Here is a 25,318-nt window from a genome sequence, read left to right on the forward strand (position 1 = left end):
AGGCTGTGGACTCCCTGCAGATTTCAGTCTTTTATCTTTGGAATTCTTAATGCCTAGCAATGTACCTGTATCAATAAATGAATGCACATCCACAGAAGATGCTCTGAGGCTTGGGGTAGAGATGAGTAAAATGGTGGTAAGACGGTGAAATGGAGATTTGTAACATACAAAGTGGAGAAGTGAGGCAAGCATTCTAAAAAAGAAATCACTCTTCTTCGAGCATTTTATTATTTTAGATAATAGTTACTTTTCATTATTCTGTTTTGTGAAAGTAGACAAGAACACTTCATCATAAAATGTCCAGAAAAATCAAATGGTGTTGGGTGCTGGGGGGTGTGAGGAGACAATCTGAATCACACCTGCCTCATTCTTCCATTTTATGAGGTATATACAGGTCTCAGCCATTGAATGCCATGAAGCCCACTTTGGCTAATAAGCCAAACCTTATTAAAAGAAAGCATAGAATTGTTTTGGAACCAAGAATTGAACATGGTATGGAATTCTCCTCCGGTAGAGAAGTTTACAAGTCTCTTACATGCATGTATAGCACAAGTTTGACAGTGTGCTTTATCCCATTCTAACCCACCAAGTTTCTAAATGTATTTAAGATTGCAGTGAGGGATTTAGAATTTCCACAGTTCCTGAAGAGGAGATTTCAAAATCAGCTGACCAAAGTCTCCGATTATAAACAGGCTGCTCAACTCACTGTGGGCCAACTGGCACTAAAGGTTGGTCACGGCTTCCCAGGCACAGAAGAAAATGCTCTAAGTCCAATCAACACTGGGAGAGCACTTATTTGGGTTCCCAGAACTAGCACACAGTGGGAAAAAGGATTAATGTTCTCTGCTTACCAGTCATCTCTGTAGGACCTGCAATTCAACCACTGAAACTCATTTGAGAGAATCAGGCTTTTATAAGCAGATTCTGTTTGGCCTATGGCTTGGGAAATCTGGAACTGAGCCCTGAAGAAAGACTGGTCTTTATCAAACTGGCAAATGTCTTTTCCATGAGATGTGCAGAAGGGAGAGTGCTGTGCAGAAATATACAGGGATATCCATCCTCCACTGTACTAGGATTTATTACCACGGAATTGTATACCATGGATTGGAGGGACACCCCTAGATTGTTTTCATTTTTTTTTAATCAAGTCAAAGTCCTTTTAATATTTGGTAACCTCCTGATTTCAGAGGTGTTATCTATTGCAAGTTATCAACTGCTTTTCTATCTCCACTTGTAGTACAAAGTCAAATTTCAAATAAAAGTGTAACCATGAAAGGGACAGTTGCTGAGTGGAGAAAATGAAAATAAGGACCAAAATAGCAGACTCTGGCCATTTATCAATTTTATTGTTTGAAGTAGCTTCCCTTCCAGAGCACTGCCTAATTTGGAAGTGGTGCTACAAAAAGTAGTCAGTGATCCGGACAAGTGTTTCAGAAGGCAGAACAATAAGAAAATGAGGGCAGATGTGGCCAGAAGGCTTGAGCTCTAGACACTAACAGCTCTAGAACTGGTTGTTAATGAATGTCTCAGAGGTTAACTTTGAAACTATGTTACACTATCATATTCTGTAAGAATTTGGTTTATAAGATGATTTATATGCATTTTAATTTTATTGGGCATTAAGTGATTGTTAAGCAAATGCAAACTATTGGCTTAAAACTGAAGATTCTGGTATTTTGAATAATAAATTCTAGTTTTCTCAGTAAGATATAGACACCAGCACAATTATCTCATTTTAAAAGTCTTACAAATGATGTTCTATGTTTCCGTCAATTGCAACATGATACTTCATATATTTAAAGGCTCAATTTTCCAATTTTTCTTCAATATTGCGACATCTTGGCACTTCTTTCAAAAGCCAGATATAAATATGATAATGATTGTTTACAAAGCATTCTGAGGTTTTATAGGTTTATAAAGAGCATATATCTAAAAAGAAAAATTCCTTTTTAAGAGTGCCTTATTTATGGGAGCATAAGACATATAGACTGTCGTATAGGCAGTGTATCATCTAGTTTGGTAACACATTTTTATAAGTAAAAATGGTGGAAAAATGGTCTTATATCACATCTATTTTTATAGCTGTGCATTATGAGATATTATAAAGAGACAAAATCTGCACTGGTTGGAAACACTATAGAAGCATATTTAAATGAGCAAAATACAAAATGGTTTTACAATTCTTAACCATTTTCAGAGACTTTAAGCCTGGATTTTTTTCCAGATTAAACTAAAATTAAAATAGTAAATGTGATGATGTGAACATTCTCTGTCACTATTGTTGCCAATATAAACTGGCACAGCTTTAGTGGAAAACATTATGGCTGTATTCATTTTTAAAAATCTTAAAAATGTGTGCCCTCTTTGACCTACCACCACTTCAGTGGAAAGCAACATATTCATCAAGGACCTCAAAGATGTGCATATTATTAGAACTAGTATCCCCACTTCTAGAAATCCAACCTGAGAAAATCATCAGAGAAAAGTTTACAGATAAACAGAGATGCGTGAACTTCAATGTTATTTATGTTAGGGAGAAAATAGAAACATTCTAAATGTTCAATTAAAAGGTAATTGTTAAATAAATTAGAATATTTCCAACATAGAATATTGCATAGTCAGTAAACATGGGGTATTATAAAACTTAAATGAAGGGAGAATAATAAAAAAAAGTGTAATCAGGAGAAAAATGCTAGATAAATTTAAAATTTTTGTTTTGAAAAATTATTTTTACATGAAATAAATAAAAGACTGAAAAGTAGCATACCACAATTTTAACAATGGTTGTCTCCTGGCAGTGATTTTAATGTTCTTTTTTATATTTTTTCAAATACTCCTATTAGCACACGTCATTTCTATTATCAATAAGCAAAAAATGCCAGACACTTCAGTGCATACCTTATGATGGCTTTGACTGCAAATCTGACCACCGTGGAGAGCAGGAACAGTGGTGTGACCAGGATATGGAAGAGAGACAGTGAAGCAAAGGCCTCTGCAGGTTTCAGATTGTTTCCACTGGCATACGCATGGGTCACAAATGTCTGTGCAAAGAAAGGAGTTCTTTAGAGAAAGCTGGAAAAAGTGTCACACATGCGTACATTCAGTCCTAGAAACCTAACATATTCTGCTATGCCAGTATGTCCATTGTAACTATGATAACAATGACTTCATCCAAAACTCCCTAATTAAAACAATACTTGCTTTTGGTAAGTCCTGAAAGGCTTACCTGCAATTATAGTGGCAAACTTATGAGAAAGTTAGAAAAAAATTCTACTTACAGGTTAGGTAATTGACCCTGTCAGATTGCTAAGTAGGGGGAATAAAGGGATGGAGAACCCAGAGTTTTCAACAACCAGTCAAGCCCTTTCCAAGCAATACTAAATACTCCGGGAGAAAAAAGAATGTTCTGTTGTTTTGGGGTCCTCACTGTGGATCTTTACTAAAACTGTCAGCATTAATATCCAAAGAAGACTTACTTCCATTTTTTTTTTTTTGAGACACGGTATCACTTCATTGCCCAGGCTAGAGTGTAGTAGCGTGATCATGGCTCACTGCAGCCTCGACCTCCCCAGGCTCAGGTGATCCTCCCACCTCAGCCTCCCAGTTAGCCGGGACTACAGGCATGCGCCATCATGCTCAGCTAATTACATTTCTACAAATAATACCAGTTGCCGATTTTGTCATTTTAGTATGAAATATAATGCAATTATTTAAGATTTTCTGGTTATTGATCTAGCTCCATCTTGTTGTAAGAGTATCTGGGAACCAGATCGTTGAGATTAGAACAGTTAATTCCCAACCGCTGTTCATTTTGCAATGTTTGCAAATGTACCAGCATACATTTGGCAATGTTTTGATTGTTGTAACTGAGGTTGCTACTGGCACCTGGTAGCTAGAAGCCAGGGATGCTGCCAAACGTCCTAACACAGAGGGCAGCCCCTAGAACAAAATTTATTTGGCTCAAAATGTCCATAGTGTCTTTACTGAGAAACCCTGGATTAGAACTCTTGCAATGGAGACTGCCATAGAGAGAAGTCACAGAGGTGAGGTAATATATATTACTACCCACACATTCTTGCTCATAAATCATTTATAAACACTGACTTGGTTTCATTTCTAAAAGAGAGAAAAAGTGTCTTACAGCAAGAACAGCTGCTATGGGAATTGCTGCATTCATGAAGACTGTGGAAAGAAATAAAATGCATTAGTTTCATTGAACTGTGAAAACATTTTCAGTAACTTTAATCATCTATTATTGCTTTAACTTTCTTTGAAGACAGGAAGGACAAAGAGTATTAAATGTCATTTTGTCTGGAGTCCACAAACATTTACCAGTTAATATCTACTTGTGTGCAGTTTTATGAGTTCCCATACATTAGTCTTAACCAGTTTCTGTTTTTCTTTATTGAATTTTTTTCTTATGAAATGTTACAAACAAAAGAATCCATATAAAATCATCCTTTAATGATAAAAATTATTAGAATTTACAAATGTGTATTCTACAGAGGGGTTACAGTCTATCTTTTGTTTAGTCCACTAAACTAATTTAAATATGTGAAATCAGGTTATTACACAGATTAAAAACAAGAACTTGACATCACTTCGAGTTCTCTTTCCAGCAGTGTTATTAATATTCATTTATGGCCCTTTCAGTTAATAAAATAACTCCATATCCTGGACTCTCTGCGTGTCTAAATATCTCTCCTGGAATATATTTAACTGTCACTGGATCAGCATGATATGCCTAGTTGAAATAAGAAAAACTCACATTTTAGCTTGAAATACTAGTGTTTGGAAGTAACAGTAAAAATAAAAAGCCAAGTTGTTGATTTATAGTCATACAGTCATAAACTATAGAATTTTAGGAACCAAGAAACCAAAGATAAAGTGAATTGTTTGTAACAGAGCCAGGCAACAGCAGAGTGAGAAGCTAGAATCTAATTTTCTTTTTTTTTTTTTTTTTTTACTTTTCTTTTTTTTTTTATTATACTTTAAGTTTTAGGGTACATGTGCACATTGTGCAGGTTAGTTACATATGTATACATGTGCCATGCTGGTGCGCTGCAATCTAATTTTCTTAACAGTAGAGGACTCCGGTTTTAAAAATCATCTGCTCTCAGGGATTATCCTTACCACCGTACATAGAACAGAATCAGACTGTGCTTTTGCAAGTCCAGATATGACTTAGTTGTCAAACATAGACTCTTGTACAGTACCGCGAATCCAAACACTGATCTGAGTTTTGTAATAACACAGATGAGAAGCCACATTTCTGCCTCAACCTTCTTTCTCTGACCATTGTCACCCTATTATATTTTATTTTAAGTTCCGGGATACATGTGCAGGATATGCGGGCTTGTTACATAGATAAACATGTGCCATGGTGGTTTGCTACACCTATTAAGCCCAGATGCATTAGCTACTTTCCTTCCCACTGCCCTCCTCATAGGCCCCAGTGTGTGTTGTTCTCCTCCCTGTGTCTGTGTGTTCTCATTATTCAACTCCCCCTTATAGGTGAGAACATGTGGTGTTTGGTTTTCTGTTCCTGGGTTAGTTTCTGTTCCTTGGTTAGGATAATGGCTTCCAGCTCCATCCATGTCCCTGAAAAGGACATCATCCTATTCCTTTTTATGGCTGCATAGTATTCCATGGTGTATATACCACATTTTCTTTATCCAGTCTATCACTGATGGACATTTGGATTGATTCCATGTCTTTGCTATTGTGAATAGTGCTGCAATAAACATACACATGCATGTATCTTTAAAATAGAATGATTTACATTCCTTTGGGTATATACCCAGTAATGAGATTGATGGGTCAAATGGTATTTCTGGTTCTAGGTTTTTGAGAAATCACCACACTGGTCTTCCACAATGGTTGAACTAATTTACATTCCCATCAACAGTGTAAAAGCATTCCTGTTTCTCCACAGCCTCACCAGCATCTGTTGTTTCTTGACTTTTTAATAATTGCTATTCTGACTGGCGTGAGATGGTGTCTCATTGTGGTTTTGATTTGCATTTCTCTAATGATGAGTGATGTTGAGCTTTATTTCATGTTTGTTGGCCACATAAATGTCTTCCTTTGAGAAGTGTCTGTTCATGTCCTTTGCCCACTTTTTAAGAGGGTTTTTTTTCCTCATAAATTTGTTTAAGTTCCTTGTAGATTCTGGATATTAGACAATTTTCAGATGGATAGATCGCAAACATTTCCTCCCATTTTGTAGTTTGTTCACTCTGATGATAGTTTCTTTTGCTGTATTTTCACCCTATATTCTAAGTGTATTATTTTCGTTTAACCTGCTTGGTAGCAGATGAGTATGAAGCACTTGACATAGTGCCAGAGATGGAGTGTGCACTCAATAAATGTTTGTATTATCCATTATCTTCTTTAATCTTTACAATCCTACATGGTAGATATTATTAATAGCTCATGTTACAGATGAAGAAACTGAGGCTAGGAGGATATAAGTAATTTTCTCAAGGCCATTCTACTACAAAGTGTCAGAGCTAGGATTTATAGCCAGCTCTGTTCAACTCACCACCAACAAGATTGTACTGAACAAAATAATAAAACTTGAAGTGGTCAAACTGGAATTTTGCTCCATTGACTCAAGAATCCCAGCTGCCTATCAAGAACACAGGATAATGTATTTTCCCCCTCATGACTTCTTACTGCTCTCCCCTAGGATGACCTCCTCTACCCTCTCTCTTCTTGTATTTGACTCAATACCAACACAACTCTCATCTCTAGAGACACACAAGCTGAATTCACATCTCACCTCAGCCCTTTAGTAGCTGGATGATTTGAAAGAAGTTCAGGTTACCTAAGTTCTTTATATGTCAATCTTTTAATTCTAAAGTGGAGTTAATAATAAAATCTAGGCCAGGCATTGTGGCTCATGCCTGTAATCCCACCACTTTGCGAGGCGGAAGCACTTGAGCCCAGCAGTTAAAGGCTGCAGTGAGCTATGTTTGCACTGCTGCACTCTGGCCTGGGTGATAGAGTGAGACCTTGTCTCAAACAATATATAAAAATAAATAATAGAATCAAAACCACTGGGCTGTTGTAATAATTAAATGAGATGGTATATGAAAAACCACTTATGGCAATAATTGGCTAAGTATACTCTCAATATATCTTTGTTGTTGTTGTTGTTATTGTTATTATTCTTGGCTACATCCATCCTTCTTATGAGAATTTCAGTCCCCTGAAGAGAAGGATGTATTGAAGGGGTCACCAACTTAGAGTAGTACAATATAAGCAAGTGAATCTTGATCATCCTGTCTTCTAGCATTTTGACACTATGTTAGTGGTGCATTGCTGGAAGATAAAACTCCTTCCAACTTTATGTCTAATGTATCAAGCATTAGGGCTAGAATAAAGGGGCTATATAGGCCAAATATTTTCTCTAAATCTATTTCAAAAAAGAAATGTTTATAATCTTTAAACTCTAAAGGAGTTTATAATTCAAGAGGAAACAATATATAAACTTCCAAAATTTTAATTTGTTAAAGGTCTTGGGAGCAACAAAGATGAGCAAAACTGACACATAAATCAAATCAAATATTAGTGGGAGTAGTTTTGCTAAGTTTGTGTAAAGTATACTAACATAAACCCTGTTATTCATGAGAATACTCAGTCATACTTTGAGGGAAAAAACAATATTTTTGTAACAGTTGCTTTTAAAGTTAGAGTTGAGGATGAAAGAAGTCTCTATTTTGAAATTTTTGAAAATATATTGGAAAAAAGGGTTTTATGTGAACGAAGTTTGGCTTCCTTTACCTGAAAATGGTATTTTTTTCTCCTCAGTTTTCAAAAATGGCTAAGTTTTCTTGACAATCTTCAAGAAAATATCACATCATAAGCTCCCAAGGAGACAAGTTAAAAAACTGCAAATATTTTTAACCCTTTTCCCGTTTAGAAAAAACAAAGTGTATCTCACTGCCAGTACTCATTTAGTTTTACATAAACACACTCTTTGAGGCTGAAGCAAATCTGATTGATTTCTAATGTGAAAATAAAATGTAAAAACTGTTCTTGGAGTTATTTCTAAACAGAACTAACAAGAGAATCGTTGCAATCATCTGAATCATCTATTTAGGAAAAAACCGAATTCATCAAATGAATCTTCGGCCAATGCTGTTTGAGAAAGATGTTAACATCACACATAAGAATGCTATGATTTCGAGGGGGTTGCAAGATGGCCAAATAGGAACAGCTCCAGTCTGCAGCTACCAGTGTGAACGATGCAGAAGACGGGTGACTTCTGCATTTCCAACTGAGGTACCAGGTTCATGTCACTGGGGCTTGTTGGACAGTGGGTGCAGGACAGTGGGTGCAGCCCACCGAGCATGAGCCAAAGCAGGGCGAGGCATCGCCTCACCCAGGAAGCACAAGGGGTCAGGGAATTCCCTTTCCTAGCCAAGGGAGGCTGTGACAGACGGCACCTGGAAAATCAGGTCACTCCCACTCTAATACTGTGCTTTTCCAACGGTCTTAGCAAACAGCACACCAGGACATCATATCCCACGCCTGGCTCGGAGGGTCCCACACCCATGGAGCCTCACTTATTGCTAGCACAGCAGTCTGAGATCGAACTGTAAGGTGGCAGCGAGGCTGGGGGAGGGGCACCCGCCATTGCTGAGGCTTGAGTAGGTAAACAGAGCAGCCGGGAAGCTCAAACTGGGTGGAACCCACCGCAGCTCAAGGAGGCCTGCCTGCCTCTGTAGACTCCACCTCTGGGGGCAGGGCATAGCCAAACAAAAGGCAGAAAAAACCTCTGCAGACTTAAATGTCCCTGTCTGACAGCTTTGAAGAGAGTAGTGGTTCTCCTAGCATGGAGTTTGGGATCTGAGAATGGAGAGACTGCCTCCTCAAGTGGGTCCCTGACCCCCAAGTAGCCTAACTGGGAGGCACCCCCAGTAGGGGCAGACTGACACCTCACACGGCCGGGTACCCCTCTGAGACGAAGCTTCCAGAGGACCGATCAGGCAGCAACATTTGCTGTTCAGCAATATTCTCTGTTCTGCAGCCTCCGCTGCTGATACCCAGGCAAACAGGGTCTGGAGTGGACCTCCATCAAACTCCAGCAGACCTGCAGCTGAGGGTCCTGATTATTAGAAGGAAAAGTAACAAACAGAAAGGACATCCACACCAAAACCCCATCTGTACATCACCATCATCAAAGACCAAAGGTAGATAAAACCACAAAGATGGGGAAAAAAACAGAGCAGAAAAACTGAAAATTCTAAAAATCAGAGCACCTCTCCCCCTCCAAAAGAACGCAGCTCCTCACCAGCAACGGAACAAAGCAGGACGGAGAATGACTTTGACGAGTTGACAGAAGAAGGCTTCAGACGATCAAACTTCTCTGAGCTAAAGGAGGAAGTTCAAACCCATCGCAAACAAGCTAAAAACCTTGAAAAAAGATTAGACAAATGACTAACTAGAATAACCAGTGTAGAGAAGTCCTTCAATGACCTGATGGATCTGAAAACCATGGCACCAGAACTACATGACGCATGCACAAGCTTCAGTAGCTGATTTGATCAACTGGAGGAAAGGATATCAGTGATGGAAGATCAAATGAATGAAATGAAGTGAGAACTTTAGAGAAAAAAGAGTAAAAAGAAAAGAACAAGCCTCCAAGAAATATGGGACTATATGAAAAGACCAAATCTACGTCTGATTGGGGTACCTGAAAGTGACAGGGAGAATGGAACCAAGCTAGAAAACACTCTGCAGGATATTATCCAGGAGGACCTCCCCAACCTAGCAAGGCAGGCCAACATTCAAATTCAGGAAATACAGAGAACGCCACAAAGATAATCCTCGAGAAGAGCAACTCCAAGACACATAATTGTCAGATTCACCAAAGTTGAAATGAAGGAAAAAATGTTAAGGGCAGCCAGAGAGAAAGGTCGGGTTACCCACAAAGAGAAGCCCATCAGACTAACAGGGGATCTCTCGACAGAAACTCTACAAGCCAGAAGAGAGTGAGGACCAATATTTGACATTCTTAAAGTAGAGAATTTTCAACCCAGAATTTCATATCCAGCCAAACTAAGCTTCATAAGTGAAGGAGAAATAAAATACTTTACAGATAAGCAAATGCTGAGAGATTTTGTCACCACCAGACCTGCCCTACAAGAGCTCCTGAAGGAAGCAATAAACATGGAAGGGAACAACTGGTACCAGCCACGGCAAAAACATGCCAAATTTTAAAGCCCATCGATGCTAGGAAGAAACTGCATCAACTAACGAGCAAAATAACCAGCTAACATCATAATGACAGGATCAAATTTACACATAACAATATTAACCTTAAAAGTAAATGGGCTAAATGCTCCAATTAAAAGACACACACTGGCAAATTGGATAAAGAGTCATGACCCATCAGTGTGCTGTATTCAGGAAACCCATCTCACGTGTAGAGACACACATAGGCTCAAAATAAAGGGATGGAGGAAGATCTACCAAGCAAATGGAAAACAAAAAAAGGCAGAGGTTGCAATCCTAGTCTCAGATAAAACAGACTTTAAACCAACAAGATCAAAAGAGACAAAGAAGGCCATTATACAATGGTAAAGGGATCAACTCAACAAGAAGAGCTAACTATCCTAAATATATATGCATCCAATACAGGAGCCCCCAGATTCATAAAGCAAGTCCTTAGAGACCTACAAAGAGACTTAGAGTTCCACACAATAATAATGGGAGACTTTAACACCCCACTGTCAACATTAGACAGATCAACAAGACAGAAAGTTAACAAGGATATCCAGGAATTGAACTCAGCTCTGCACCAAGCAGAACAAATAGACATCTACAGAACTCTCCACCCCAAATCAACAGAATATACATCCTTCTGAGTCACACCTATTCCAAAATTGACCACATAGTTGGAAGTAAAGCACTCCTCAGCAAATGTAAAAGAACAGAAATTACAACAAACTGTCTCTCAGACCACAGTGCAATCAAACTAGAAATCAGGATTAAGAAACTCACTCAAAACCGCTCAACTACATGGAAACTGAACAACCTGCTCCTGAATGACCACTGGGTACATAACGAAATGAAGGCAGAAATAAAGATGTTCTTTGAAACCAACGAGAACAAAGACACAACATACCAGAATCTCTGGGACACATTTAAAGCAGTGTGTAGAGGGAAATTTATAGCACTAAATGCCCACAAGAGAAAGCAGGAAAGATCTAAAACGGACACCCTAACATCACAATTAAAAGAACTAGAGAAGCAAGAGCAAACACATTCAAAAGCTAGCAGAAGGCAAGAAATAACTTAGATCAGAGCAGAACTGAAGGAAATAGAGACACAAAAAACCCTTCAAAAAATAAATGAATCCAGGAGCTGGTTTTTTGAAAAGATCAACAAAATAGATAGACCACTAGCAAGACTAATGAGAAAAGAGAGAAGAATCAAATAGACGCAAAAATAATGATAAAGGGGATATCACCACTGATCCCACAGAAATACAAACTACCATCAGAGAATACTATAAACACCTCTATGCAAATAAACAGAAAATCTAGAAGAAATGGATAAATTCCTGGACACATACAGCCTCCCAAGACTAAACCAGGAAGAAGTTGAATCCCTGAATAGACCAATAACAGGCTCTGAAATGAAGCAATAATTAATAGCCTACCAACCAAAAACAGTCCAGGACCAGATGGATTCACAGCTGAATTCTACCAGAGGTACAAGGAGGAGCTGGTACCATCCTTCTGAAACTATTCCAATCAATAGAAAAAGAGGGAATCCTCGCTAATTCATTTTATGAGGCCAGCATCATCCTGATACCAAAGCCTGGCAGAGACACACACACAAAAAAGAGAATTTTAGACCAATATCCCTGATGAACACAGATGCAAAAATCCTCAATAAAATACTGGTAAACTGAATCCAGCAGCACATCAAAAATCTTATCCACCATGATCAAGTGGGCTTCATCCCTGGGATGCAAAGCCTCGTTCAACATACGCAAATCCAGCATATAAACAGAACCAAAGACAAAAACCACATGATTATCTCAGTAGATGCAGAAAAGGCCTTTGACAAAATTCAACAGCCCTTCATGCTAAAAAATCTCAATAAATTGGTATTGATGGGACGTATCTCAAAATAATAAGAGCTATTTATGACAAACCCACAGCCAATATCATACCGAATAGGCAAAAACTGGAAGCATTCCCTTTGAAAACTGGCACAAGACAGGGATGCCCTCTCTCATCACTCCTATTCAGCATAGTGTTGGAAGTACTGGCCAGGGCAATCAGGCAGGAGAAAGAAATAAAGGGTATTCAACTAGGAAAAGAGGAAGTCAAATTATCCCTGTTTGCAGATGACATGATTGTATATCTAGAAAACCCCAATGTCTCAGCCCCAAATCTCCTTCAGCTGATAAGCAACTTCAGCAAAGTCTCAGGATACAAAATCAATGTGCAAAAATCACAAACATTCCTATACACCAATAGTAGACAAACAGAGAGCCAAATCATGAGTGAACTCCCATTCACAATTGCTACAAAGAGAATAAAATACCTAGAAATACAACCTACAAGGGATATGAAGGACCTCTTCAAGGAGAACTACAAACCACTGCTCAATGAAATAAAAGAGGACACAAACAAATGGAAGAACATTCCATGCTCATGGATAGGAAGAATCAATATCATGAAAATGGGCATACTGCCCAAGGTAATTTATAGATTCAATGCTATCCCCATCAAGCTACCAATGACTTTCTTCACAGAATTGAAAAAAACTACTTTAAAGTTCATATGGAACCAAAAAAGAGCCCACATTGCCAAGACAATCCTAAGCCAAAAGAACACCTGGAGGCATCATGCTACCTGACTTCAAACCATACTACAAGGCTACAGTAACCAAAACAGCATGGTACTGGTACCAAAACAGAGATATAGACCAATGGAACAGAACAGAGCCCTCAGAAATAATACCACACATCTGCAACCATCTGATCTTTGACAAACCTGACAAAAACAAGAAATGGTGAAAGATTCTCTATTTAATAAATGGTGCTGGGAAAACTGGCTATCCATATGTAGAAAGCTGAAACTGGATCCCTTCTTTACACCTTATACAAAAAATAATTCAAAATGGATTAAAGACTTAAATGTTAGACCCAAAACCATAAAAACCCTAGAAGAAAACCTAGGCAATACCATTCAGGACATTGGCATGGGCAAGGACTTCATGACTAAAACACCAAAAGCAATGGCAACAAAAGCCAAAATTGACAAATGGAATCTAACTAAACTAAAGAGCTTCTGCACTGCAAAAGAAACTACCATCAAAGCAAACAGGCAACCTACAGAATGGGAGAAAATTTTTGCAATCTACTCATCTGACAAAGGGCTAATATCCAGAATCTACAAAGAACTCAAACAAATTTACAAGAAAAAAACAAACAACCCCATCAAAAAGTGGGCAAAGGGTCTGAACAGACACTTCTCAAAAGAAGACATTTATGCAGCCAACACACACATGAAGAAATGCTCATCATCACTGGCCATCAGAGAAATGCAAATTAAAACCACAATGAGATACCATCTCATACCAGTTAGAATGGCGATCATTAAAAAGTCAGGAAACAACAAGTGCTGGAGAGGATGTGGAGAAATAGGAACACTTTTACACTGTTCGTGGGACTATAAACTGGTTCAACCATTGTGGAAGACAGTGTGGTGATTCCTCAAGGATCTAGAACTAGAAATACCATTTGACCCAGCAATCCCATTACTGGGTATATACCCAAAGGACTATAAATCATGCTGCTATAAAGACACATTCACACATGTGTTTATTGCAGCACTATTCACAATAGCAAAGACTTGGACCAACCCAAATGTCCAACAATGATAGACTGGATTAAGAAAATGTGGCACATATATACCATGGAATACTATGCAGCCATAAAAAAGGATGAGTTCATGTAGGGACATGGATGAAGCTGGAAACCATCATTCTCAGCAAACTATTGCAGGGACAAAAAACCAAACACCACATGTTCTCACTCATAGGTGGGAACTGAACAATGAAAACACTTGGACCCCTCACATCACACACCGGGGCCTGTCGTGGGGTGTGGGGAGAGGGGAGGGATAGCATTAGGAGATATACCTAATGTAAATGACAAGTTAATGGGTGCAGCACACCAACATGACACATATATATATATGTAACAAACCTGCACATTGTGCACATGTACCCTAGAACTTAAAGTATAATTAAAAAAAAAAAGAATGCTATGATTTCTAGGATTTGACATTTTTAGCGATTGAGAGTTACTATATTTTGTAAATGGAAACACCACTACTAAAAACAGAATGCTACAAATAGAACGATGTCTTTTGTTTCCAAAGTCGATATCCTAGATTGATGCAAAATAATAATAAAAGCGAGATATTTTGTGGCAAAGTTTTCTCGGAGTAAAAGCTGCAGCCACAAGTGCTACCCATGTGTATTCTGAGACAAATGGAAAAATAGTTAAAGGATCTTTGGGGATAAGAAGATCAATCGTCATGTAGTCAAATCAATTTCAGTAAACAAAGTTTTACTTTTTTACTAAAAACCAACAATTTATCCTAACTGAACTGATACCAGGGTTTTAATTACAGTTACTATTATCACCATCTTCATTTTACTGATGAAGAAAACCAACGATTTCAGTTTGTAGAGTAACATGGCCAAGGGCACACTAGTTGTGAGGAATCAAATTCAGGTCTACTTGACTCTAAACCTGTGCTTACTTTGGTCTTTAATTTAAATGTAAATAGATAGCCTCGTGTGGCTGGTGGCTATTGGACAGCACGTGTTTAGAAAATAAATAGGTGTCCTTGAAGAACTAGAATGTTTCATTGATCACAATCTAAACTGAATAGACTGTTGGTTATTCTGGTTGCCCTTAAAGTCGCCTGTTCTTAGAGCAACAGCAACTTACTGGAGAGTGATGTATATAGTGCAAAGGTTTTGAGACTAGATAGTTCTTTCATTCTTGTTTCCTCCACACTTTTGCAGAAAATGTGTTCCCAGGCATACAATTTTAGAAGTTTGATGCCTTTCAATATTTCATTTGTTTTCTTGAGTCTCTCAGTGGAATAATCCTATAAAACAAAGGAAGAAAAATAATACCAGCTGCATCCAAGTGAATCAGAAAGGCAGAACCATGTAATGGACAGGGATTGAGGAGACCTTGATTTCAGACTGGCCCTGCCACTCACTAATTAGGTTGTGAAGTTCCCAGGAGAAGCAATTAAACCCTTTGTGCTTCATGAAATAAAGAGTTTAATGAGATGGCCTCAACATTTCTTTCCACCTAAAAACATGTATGTCTCTGTTGCTTTGGTTTACATAAAAGCTAAAAACAATTTTCTAAAGTTTCACATGATTTCCTTGAATCATGTCTGCAGATAATATAGACATAAATTTACATAATAAGGAGACTTATAATGACTCCTAACATCTAACTTAATTTCTTCTGCAGTCAGCTCTATCACTCATACTTACAAGAAGAAAAATAATAAATTTAAGAAAAGTTAGTGGGCTTCTTATTTGAAAATATGAGGGTACAGTGTTCTGTGCATTCATATTGCATCTTCATAACACAGTTATTGAAACTAAGCCTATTATCTTAGCTATCAAGAGATTTCCACATACTTCTTTGTAAGTTCTTGGGTAAGGCTTAAGTTAGATTTACTAACAACTTGGAATAATCATAGAGAGATTTGTAGCAGATACGAAACCTTCATTTTAGCCAGCTGTTTCAGCTTCCTTCATCACCACATGTCATACTAGAATTACTAACAAGGTAATATATGACTAATTAACTATCAAAAGGGGCAGTAGAGTGGTCAAAAGACAGATAGGAGAAAGCAAAAGTAGCAAACAGCCTGGTTTTTGTTCAATGTTTTGTCTTTACAGGGTGTTTAAATGCCTATCAAATGATTGTTCAATGAGTGAATGAATATGGTATGAATAGCTAAATGAAAGACAGATGTTTGGGAATCATCATATCTCTCCTAAGCTCCCCTTCCACACCTTTCTGTATTTGTGTGCTGGAGTAAAAAGGATAGCTGGCTCAGACAGAAATAATGAGTAACCTACCTAAAGGAGCAGAAAAACAAGTGATAAACACCGCTTGCGTGACATGCAACTCGCTTGTCATAGTAGAAACACGAACTTGAGAAACAATCCTGTCAGTGGCAGCATCTTCACATTTTATGCCTGATTTACAGACAGCCTTGCTCATATTTAATCAAACTTTATTTGTAAACATGCTGTCAACAATTTTATTATTTGCAAAGATTTCTCTAAAAGCAGCAAATTCGTGCTCAAATGAAATGATTTCATGGCAAATTGAAGCCAGAAAAGGTCAATAATTGGGCTTTTTCTTGCTTGCCAAGTTGACCAGAAATATATTCAGCAAGAGCAGCTGCCACTGAAACATGTCAATGTGACTCCATAGATCCTCACATGCTTTGAGTCTACCCTAGGGAAATATAATTTCAGAAGCAGCAAACTTGACCCTTCACTTGCACCTTGATCCATTTCTTGCATGTCAATAACTGACGTTCACTAGCCTCAAAGTACGCTTAAGATTCTTTAGACAAGTGATCTAAGAAGACTGAAAGCCTTATCACCTCATGGTACTTTAAAACATGGGGAACGGTGATTCTAGTATTTTGAGTCTAAGATCATCAAGTTTTAAATTTCCAATCCACTTTTAAAAATTGTTTTTGCAACATGGAAAATACACATTTGCTGCTGAAGAACTGAAGTGAAATAGAATTGTTTCCAAATTATCTTTAGTGGTATGTATTAATTTCCTATATTATAAAATTAAAACAGCATTTCTCATTTTTGTAATTAAGTTTCCAAAAGATGTTACTTACAAGTGTACTTTTCTGAGCCTCTGCCAACTTTGTAGCAATAAAGTACTGAATTGGCGCAAGGAGCACAATGACAGCTGCACCGACCAATGCACTTGATCCAAGTAAATTATAGAGCAGAATCACGCCCATTATGATCTAGAGAGAAAAACACATGGAAAAGAGAAGATGAATGGGTTGTGGGAGCCATTGCATGAAAGGACATAATTTTTAGTGCAAATGTAGTATTTCTTAATTATTATATTGTTTATTTGGAAGTCAACGGTATTAGGGTTCTCTAGAGGGACAGAATTAACCATCAAGTCAACCCAGCTGTGACAGTTGGGTTTTACTCTGATTTATTTGGGGAAGGCTAAGTGCTAGGAATGTATTTTTAGTATGATAATCTGTACAACTGATGTCAAACCAATGTATTGCATGAATTTGCAAAGTGGTCCCATGACACTTCCAACCTTTTAAGTAGTCTTCAGATTTTTAAAAGGGCATAAATTTTTTCTTGAAAACGCTGTCACCCACCATAAATTTGACTTTCTATATTCTCTTGGAATTGTACTAGCTTTTCAAGGCTGAGAGGATGAAAAGTAGGGGGCAGCATCATGTGAGTAGAGGATGGTTGTCTGTGGACTAAAGGAATGAGCTGAGCTCCTCACCTTCTTATGACTTCAGAAATCACTTACTGACAAGAAGGCTGACGGTAACTAAAACTGTTAAAAAGCTAAAGTTAGTGTCCTATCTTAATATACTTCTCTTTCCCCAAACCAAGGGCAAAACCATTCAGACCTGTCCTCTCTGGTTTGCCACTGTCTTCTTTTTCCTTTAAAACTCAGAATTTACCCCTGCTATCCTAGTCTCTCTCTCTCTGATTTATCATGGCTCAAAACATCAATTAATGAACTGTATCCATGCAGTTCAAGTATATAATTTATGCCTATATGCCAATGATAATAGCTTAATAGCAGCTGTCTGGGGCCAATGACACGTTTACTGCCTAACTAATTAGGTAGTTTGAGATATCCAATAAAAACAAAAAATTCCTTAAGGTCACCCATGATGCAGTCATTCAGAGACTTTTGGTGCACTTAAAATTACACCATCTAGGCAGCTACCTAATTCACCTTTATATAAGTATATTTTGATAAAATGAGACAAAGTACATCTCAAATCCTACTTTGTGCCAAGCACTGTGCATAATATACACTTTTTTTTGCCTTGGTTTTCTATTAAAAAATGAAAAGGCAAACAATAAGTTAAAAACTAGCATCTTCTTTATTACTTTATGCACTTGAATAAATGTGGGACACAGGGACTTAGATGACAGATTTTTTCAAATAAGATCTAGCACTTAAGCTTCATCTACAGAATGCAAAACTTGAGATAATTAAAAATGTCCAGTTTATACAGAGGAAAAAACTGAGTATATTTCTTTTGCCATTTTTACCCAGCTAGGGGAAGAAGAAAACGTGTCTTTACTAAAATGTTATTTTACATAGGAAATAGCTAAATAGCACTCCAGTTTGTCACTGTTCCTACCATTTTATGCAGTTTGACATTTTGCAATATACTAACTATTGAAACTATGGGATTGATTAAAGCAATTGCTCTCGTTTAGAAATGCTGTAAGAGAGCTTGCCAAAATAAAAGGGGTCAAACCATGGCTCTGTGACTTACATGAATCGAGGCAATAATACTAACAACTAACAGTTACTGGATGCCCAGGAAATGCTGGGCACTATGCTAGATGTTATAGACATATTAATCTATTTAACCTTGACAATTCCCACAACTTTACGAGAAGTACTATTATTATTCTCATTTACAGTTAAGAAAACTAGGGCTTTGAGGAGTTAAGCACTTGTGTAAATGACGGGGTAGGGCAGATATTTGAACTCAAGCAGTATAATTTCAAACTTCTCTTGCTTAACCTATGCTATAACATTTCTGAGTCCCAGCTTCCTTTTCTATAAAAGAGTGTAATATTTGCACATTCAAAAACTATACACCTTTTACAGAGCTAAATACATTACTGCTTTTTTTGTTTTATTTCCTCTGCAGACAAAAATCTTACTTATATTTATCTACCTACCTGAACAGGCATAGCCCATAGATTGGGACACAGGAACAAAAACCACATGAGTTGATTAGTTTCAATGGCGACTAAGTTGTTGATCTGCCCCAGAGTCATCTCCCCCATGGATAAGTTAGACGTAGAGAGCCTAAGGATTTTATTATAAATCATGGCCTACCAAAAAAAAAAAAAAGAGTACATAAAGCTCTAAACTTAAAATTGACACTATGATTATTTTCACTGAAAATAAATAACAAACATTTAATTTTTTTGAGAAAAAAGAAAAGAAAAATTCTATAGGATCATCTTCTTAAATCAGCCACTACAGTTATTTCTACTTCAGTATAGTTATTTTCAGTCCTTAACCAAATACAGACTTCCTTTTTTCTAGTGATATAATAAAAACATGCATTAAACTTTAAGCATAAGCCCTAGAACAAACAGAAAGAGATAAATAAATGTAAGATTTCAAAATATTTTTCTTAACATTATTTGAAAGTTATTTTTAATTCAATAGGTTTATTAATTAGCTCTGTTTCTTTCATTAAGTAGATTATAGAAACGTTGTTGTTGTAATACCAAAATGAAAATGGAATGAAAAAACAAAACTGAAGCTACCGCTATTCTTTTCACTGAATGGTATATAGCATTCTTAGGAAACAAATAGTATTCACAGCCTTTACATACCAGCAGAGCTCCACGGAGGTTAATGCCAGTCTCTATGGTTACATAGTAGGAAGCCTGCAAAAATGTCCTTTGCAGAATAAGAGCCAAGAAGAGAAGAACTGCTAGAACGTAAGCGTTTTCAAGAAATTCCTTTGATGAGAGGGTTTCTGAAATCTGGTCCCCAAAGAAAAAAAGTGTCATATTAAAACTCGTCTTTTTATAGACCAGGTGTACAGTTTGCATTTATTAAAAGATACATAATATTTAAATACAAAAATTCAATGTATTTATTATACAGCAGTGAAATACAATACAAACCAGGTAAATCCATAAAATCCCTAATTGATTAATGAGTGATGGAAATGCCTAATTGAAGAAAAAAAAGGTAGAATTTATTTTTAAAAAATTAGAATGCATTTCCTGCAAAGGTATATCCAACCTTAGTAAAATGGTAAGCAGCAAATAAAAAGACAAGTTAGTTTACACTCTAATTTGGAAGTAGAAGCTATAAAATTGATAGTTGGCCAGCAAGACCAATGGAAGACATATACAATTTTGGTAGCCTTATTAGTTTAAAATAATTCCACTCAGTTGCCTTTTTCTGATTCTCAGATATCTTAATTTATGCTAATAAGATAAATAATAAATTATAAAGTAGGTAATTTGGCTATATCACCCATGCAACACTACCAGTAACAAAACATAACTTACAAAATTTTGTTTTAGTAGGAATACGACTGAATTCAGCATAAGGATATCCAAAATTGATTTTTGTTTGTAACAATAGCATATGGTAACTTGTTTGTTAGAAAAGAAGGAAAGATAACATTTGACTAAGTACATTACATCAGTTTGGACACTATTTTCTATGATTTAGACCTAGTAGAATTCTACTTCTGGTCCCTTCCTCCTTTTTTGTGGGAATATATACAAATGTGCAAGTCCTATTCTTTCTTAGCAAAACGTGGTTAATATATGCAAGGGAGAAGGATGATGGATAAACTCTGTGGAATTTAGATATCCGTATGTAATTAGGCTAGTAGGGACAAAACATCACCAAAGTGTATTCAGTGGTGAAAATATCTGGTTCATGAACACTAATGTATGCAAGGATCTGGGCTAAGCATTGTGAACACAAATATGAATGGCTCACCGTAATTGTTTCATAAGCTTACAACCTAGGAAGATAAACATATCTCTAAGTAACAGGCTTCAGTAAGTGCCAACATAAAGTAAAGAGTGTGTTAAGGGACTATCAAGGAGAGTCAGATTCCAACTAGGATGATCAGAAAAAGCTTCACCGAAGAGGCAACATTTAAGGTCAGTTCTCATATTGCATAACATTTTTATACGTGATGGAAAGAGGACAGGAAATCAGATTGAGAGAACAGAAAAGGAAAATGGATTAATCTGGCGATAGTTTCTATATGTAGAACTACAAAAATCAATACTTAGAAAGAAAGTAGGAAGTTCACAATGCAGTCTTTATTAAAAGTAGAAAATAAAAATTATATATTTATGATCATAAACACGCAGTATTTTAACTATATAGCCCCAATATAATAACATAATGTCTAATAAAATATCATAATGTGACTTGCCCTGAACATTGTGAAACAGGGTGGTGGGTTTTTATTATATAAGAAAAGAGAAATGTACAATATTACAAATCACATTGCTAGTATTATTGGTCACAGACCTCTAAAGAAGTGACTCAGCCACCCATCATGTATAAAAATTCTTTAAAGAGTTCCTATAAAGATTAAATAAAACAATCAATGCACAATTTCTACACAAAGTTTCTGGCATACCGTAAATGCTTGTTAAATGTTTATAGGCTCTGAATCTGAGAAATAATTTTGGTGGCCAGATTCATTCAATGAATAAATACATAAACACGTGATTTTTTTCTAAAAGGAAAATTACTGTTTTCTTTCTTTTAGAAAGCATTCAATTCTCTGAAAAAAAGCCTATTTGAACAACTCATAAAACTGCATTAATAAAAAGTGACAATTACAATGAAATCCATCAATAATATGTTTCCATTGAAAATCACCAGGAACTTACTCCAGTTGTGTTATTTGTCCCATTCTGGGTTTCATTCACACGCTGAACTATTCCAGAAATACAAAGAGGTCCAGCAAAACCCAGTAAATCAGCCAGATAGCGGAATGTGCTACTAAGTAGAATTGGTCGCCCAAAAGCTCTGTACATTGCAAGCCATATAGATGGAGTCCGATTTGGATGATCTGCAACTTTTTTCTGAAGAAAAAAAAAAGAAAAAAAAAACAGATGTAACAAAATAAAACTGCTTAGAGCAGTAACTAATCTCATGTATGGAAATTCCTTCTTATACTTCAAAAATACTTTAAGGGTTTAAAAATTGATGTTAATGTGTGCCTTTCAGCATAGCATGCATAATTCTGTATCCTTGCCTTCTACGAAAATAGTAGCTACTGAATGCATTTTAATAAAATAGAGAGAATGAGAAGTAAACAAGACAGTTTTTCTAAGACTCTGTATTATTTTACTTATCAAAGGATGACACAGGATTCTTAAAGCCTAATTCATTTTCAGTTTTCTTTGATTGGGAAAATATATATTTGTCATGCAAATTGCCAAATAGCATTGCATAGCAAGCAAAAGAGTAAAGCACAAACATCAAGGTTATAGGCAGACTGGTCAAGACTTTTGGAGTTACTACATCACCACAGGTTTGCCTATCCAATAATTACCAGCTAAACAAAACAGATTATCCCAACTTCAAGTTGTTTCTCCTCCATGGTATTTCTTATCTCCCTGAATGGTAGTCAATACTTTAAAAAATTATGGTAGACTTGTGTTTCCTAGGTATTCCTCAAAGAAATGCAAAATGAAGAACAGCATTTATACTTAAGTCAACTCATGGCTTCACACAGCTATAGTTGTTTGTTGTAAATAAAATTTTAAGACCTGAGCAATCATCATAATTAAAATTTAGGGAGGAGGTAGATAAAGTTTTTTCATTGTGACAAGGAAGTCAACTCACTAGAATAGAGCTCAATTATGTTCCCTATGCAACCCCCTGTTAAACTAAATAAATAATTTGTTTTCCAAAGTTTATGTAGACGTTAACACACCAAGTTCAAGCTAATCTCTGTTGTAAAGAGAACTCAGAAAAATTAAACTATGCTTAGGCTAGACTGCAAACATCTTTACTTTAGCAGTTTTAAAAATTTTATGCAATACTTTTCCCAGAGGTGAAACCAGAGAAATGACTCAGATTCATTTGTTGTAACCTTTTCCTGCCATTTAATTTCATAACACATATTTCTGACACAAAACAGAGATTATTTTCATCATTTACCATAAATGTTTCATTGATCTTCATTTAGAACAGCCAAAAACTCATTAGCTGTTTTACCATACTCTATTTCCTTCCAGTGTTGTTGAGAATCCTAATATTTTAAATGGCAATGATATTTGTAGATGATGGCAATAGAAAACACATCTACCACTGTGGGTAGCATGCATGACTATTTAGAATGATAAAAGACAAAATGAAAATATCCAAAGACTCTCATCTTTAAATTTTTTAAAACAATAATGAATACTTAGGAAAAGTGCCAGAGGAAGCCAATTTTGACAGCCATATAGGATGATACATGGAAGAGGAAGACAATGCCCTTTTATTTAATTTAGTCTCTCATTTTGAACTATAGAAGCTAAATTTTAGTCACTAATTAATGTAAGGTTTTTAATTTCTCCAAAGTGATTATTAGTTGGTATCTATTTTACCTCTTTATATAACAAACATATTATGCTTGTGAAAAGACAATAACAAAAATTTCATGAGTTATTAATATTACGTGGTAATGGATTAGTTATACATGATCATTGAACTTAATTCTTACTTTCCACTTGGTGACATGTCCCAGAGAAAAGACAGTACTCACTCTATCCTTCCTCATGTATTAATGGAGCAACTAATATAAGTATACTTCATTGGCTCTTCCAGTCTTCCAGGCCCAATTTACATGATTCAAAAGTACAGAGGAAGACAGATAAAGGAAATCTGCTCTTCCTCAACCATAGATATGATTTAAGCTTTGTGTCCTTTTTTTTTTTTTTTTTGAGGCAGAGTTTCACTCTTGTTGCCCAGGCTGGAGTGCAATGGTGCAATCTCGGCTCACCACAACTTTCGCCTCCCGGTTTCAAGCAATTCTCCTGCCTCAGCCTCCCAAGTAGCTGGGATTACAGGCATGCGTCACCATGCCCGGCTAATTTTTGTATTTTTAGTAAAGATGGGGTTTCTCCATGTTGGTCAGGCTGGTCTCAAACTCCTGACCTCAGGTGATCCATCTGCCTCGGCCTCCCAAAGTGCTGGGATTATAGGCATGAGCCATCGTGCCTGGCCTAAGCTTTGTGTCTTTATATATATATGTGTGTGTGTGTGTGTGTGTGTGTGTGTGTGTGTGTATATAATGTGTATATATATGTGTGTATATATACATGTGTATATATATATAATGTGTATATATGTGTGTATATATAGACATGTGTATGTATATATAATGTGTATATATGTGTGTATATATAGACATGTGTATATATGTATGTGTATATAGACACGTGTATATATGTGTGTATATATGTGTATATATGTATATATGTGTGTATATGTGTGTGTATATATGTGTGTGTGTGTGTGTGTGTGTATATATATATATATTTTTTTTTTTTTTTTGAGACAGAGTCTCACTCTGTCACCCCGGCTGGAGTGCAGTGGCCCAATCCTGGCTCACTGCAAGCTCTGCCTCCCAGGTTCATGCCAACAGGACCATTCTCTGTAATTAAGCACATGGAAGACAGACGCTAAATCACCTTTTGTTCTTCATATGCATCTTTCAGGCAAACATAATTTGTTACTGCTCTCATTGCTATTGGCAATTTTCCAATTGCCTTCAGATCAATAGGCTTTTTGTGAGCAGATATAATAAGTGTGTTCATCCACCAGTATGTTGCTTTTGACAGCAAATTCACAAATGGTTGAAGAAATCTCACTCCCAGATCCTGGAGGTCTTCAGGAGGCTTTACTTTCTGAGGATTCATGAAAAATACATATCTCTGTGGCAAGAAAAATTCCACAGTATAACAATTAGTCCAATTATTTTCCACATATTAAAAATAAAATTTCAACCTTTTCTACATTTTCATTTCAGGTGACCAAAATTTATATTTTAATGCCTCCTTCCATCCCTTTCTGAAATATTCTTTGAGATATTTCCTTCTGTTGTGACTAGATGAACTAGTTAATGCCAGAATTTTGCATGTAATCCTCTTGGGGTCAATTCTAAAAGATCACTTAACCTTTTAAAAGATAGTTTTTACTAAGAGTCAGTGTTTCATGATATCCTATGATAGGGTCAACCAAATGAAGGTTTTTACTTTGTTTAGATTTTAAAATGTATTATCAACACCATTATTGAGTCTCTTGATCTATGGTTTCCTGATGTTAACTGACTACTCTCCACATGCATTGCAGCATATATCTTTCTACTCACAGATCAAGTTCAAAGTTCTCTGATAAAAAATGAATACTGGAAAATCTATCTCTAGTATCTCACACAACATAACTGACAGTATTAAGTGGTGGAAAGTACAATCA

The 25,318-nt window shown here is 36.5% G+C and overlaps 1 protein-coding gene across 8 annotated transcripts in view, besides 3 other annotated features; it reads right to left on the minus strand.

Moving 5' to 3' along the window:
• Positions 1-25,318, minus strand: part of ABCC9 (ATP binding cassette subfamily C member 9) — a 144,038-nt gene that overhangs the window by 93,745 nt on the left and 24,975 nt on the right. For 7 of the 8 annotated variants that reach the window (XM_005253288.5, XM_005253290.5, XM_005253289.5 and 4 more), the window contains 8 exons: positions 24,535-24,777; positions 21,739-21,933; positions 19,693-19,845; positions 19,024-19,179; positions 16,944-17,078; positions 14,993-15,155; positions 4,142-4,182; positions 2,899-3,041 (listed from right to left, as the gene is read on the minus strand). In XM_005253288.5, coding sequence (XP_005253345.1) covers positions 2,899-3,041; positions 4,142-4,182; positions 14,993-15,155; positions 16,944-17,078; positions 19,024-19,179; positions 19,693-19,845; positions 21,739-21,933; positions 24,535-24,777 — 1,229 coding nt within the window. The remainder of the gene's footprint in view (positions 1-2,898; positions 3,042-4,141; positions 4,183-14,992; positions 15,156-16,943; positions 17,079-19,023; positions 19,180-19,692; positions 19,846-21,738; positions 21,934-24,534; positions 24,778-25,318) is intronic. The other variant, NM_001377274.1, reaches the window with a different exon arrangement.
• Positions 4-1,533: an enhancer, noted in NCBI's record as "VISTA enhancer hs2151". NCBI's record gives its function as "enhancer in: dorsal root ganglion[5/17] | trigeminal V (ganglion, cranial)[5/17]" and the evidence as "EXISTENCE:transgenic organism evidence [ECO:0001131][PMID:17130149]".
• Positions 8,063-8,563: an enhancer, noted in NCBI's record as "H3K4me1 hESC enhancer chr12:22052130-22052630 (GRCh37/hg19 assembly coordinates)". NCBI's record gives its function as "activates a minimal SCP1, AML or CMV promoter by ChIP-STARR-seq in naive H9 embryonic stem cells {active_cell/tissue: H9 hESC(naive)}" and the evidence as "EXISTENCE:reporter gene assay evidence [ECO:0000049][PMID:30033119]".
• Positions 8,564-9,064: an enhancer, noted in NCBI's record as "H3K4me1 hESC enhancer chr12:22052631-22053131 (GRCh37/hg19 assembly coordinates)". NCBI's record gives its function as "activates a minimal SCP1, AML or CMV promoter by ChIP-STARR-seq in naive H9 embryonic stem cells {active_cell/tissue: H9 hESC(naive)}" and the evidence as "EXISTENCE:reporter gene assay evidence [ECO:0000049][PMID:30033119]".

This window comes from Homo sapiens, chromosome 12 (genome assembly GCF_000001405.40).
Source record: "Homo sapiens chromosome 12, GRCh38.p14 Primary Assembly".
NCBI classification, from domain to species: Eukaryota; Metazoa; Chordata; class Mammalia; order Primates; family Hominidae; genus Homo; species Homo sapiens.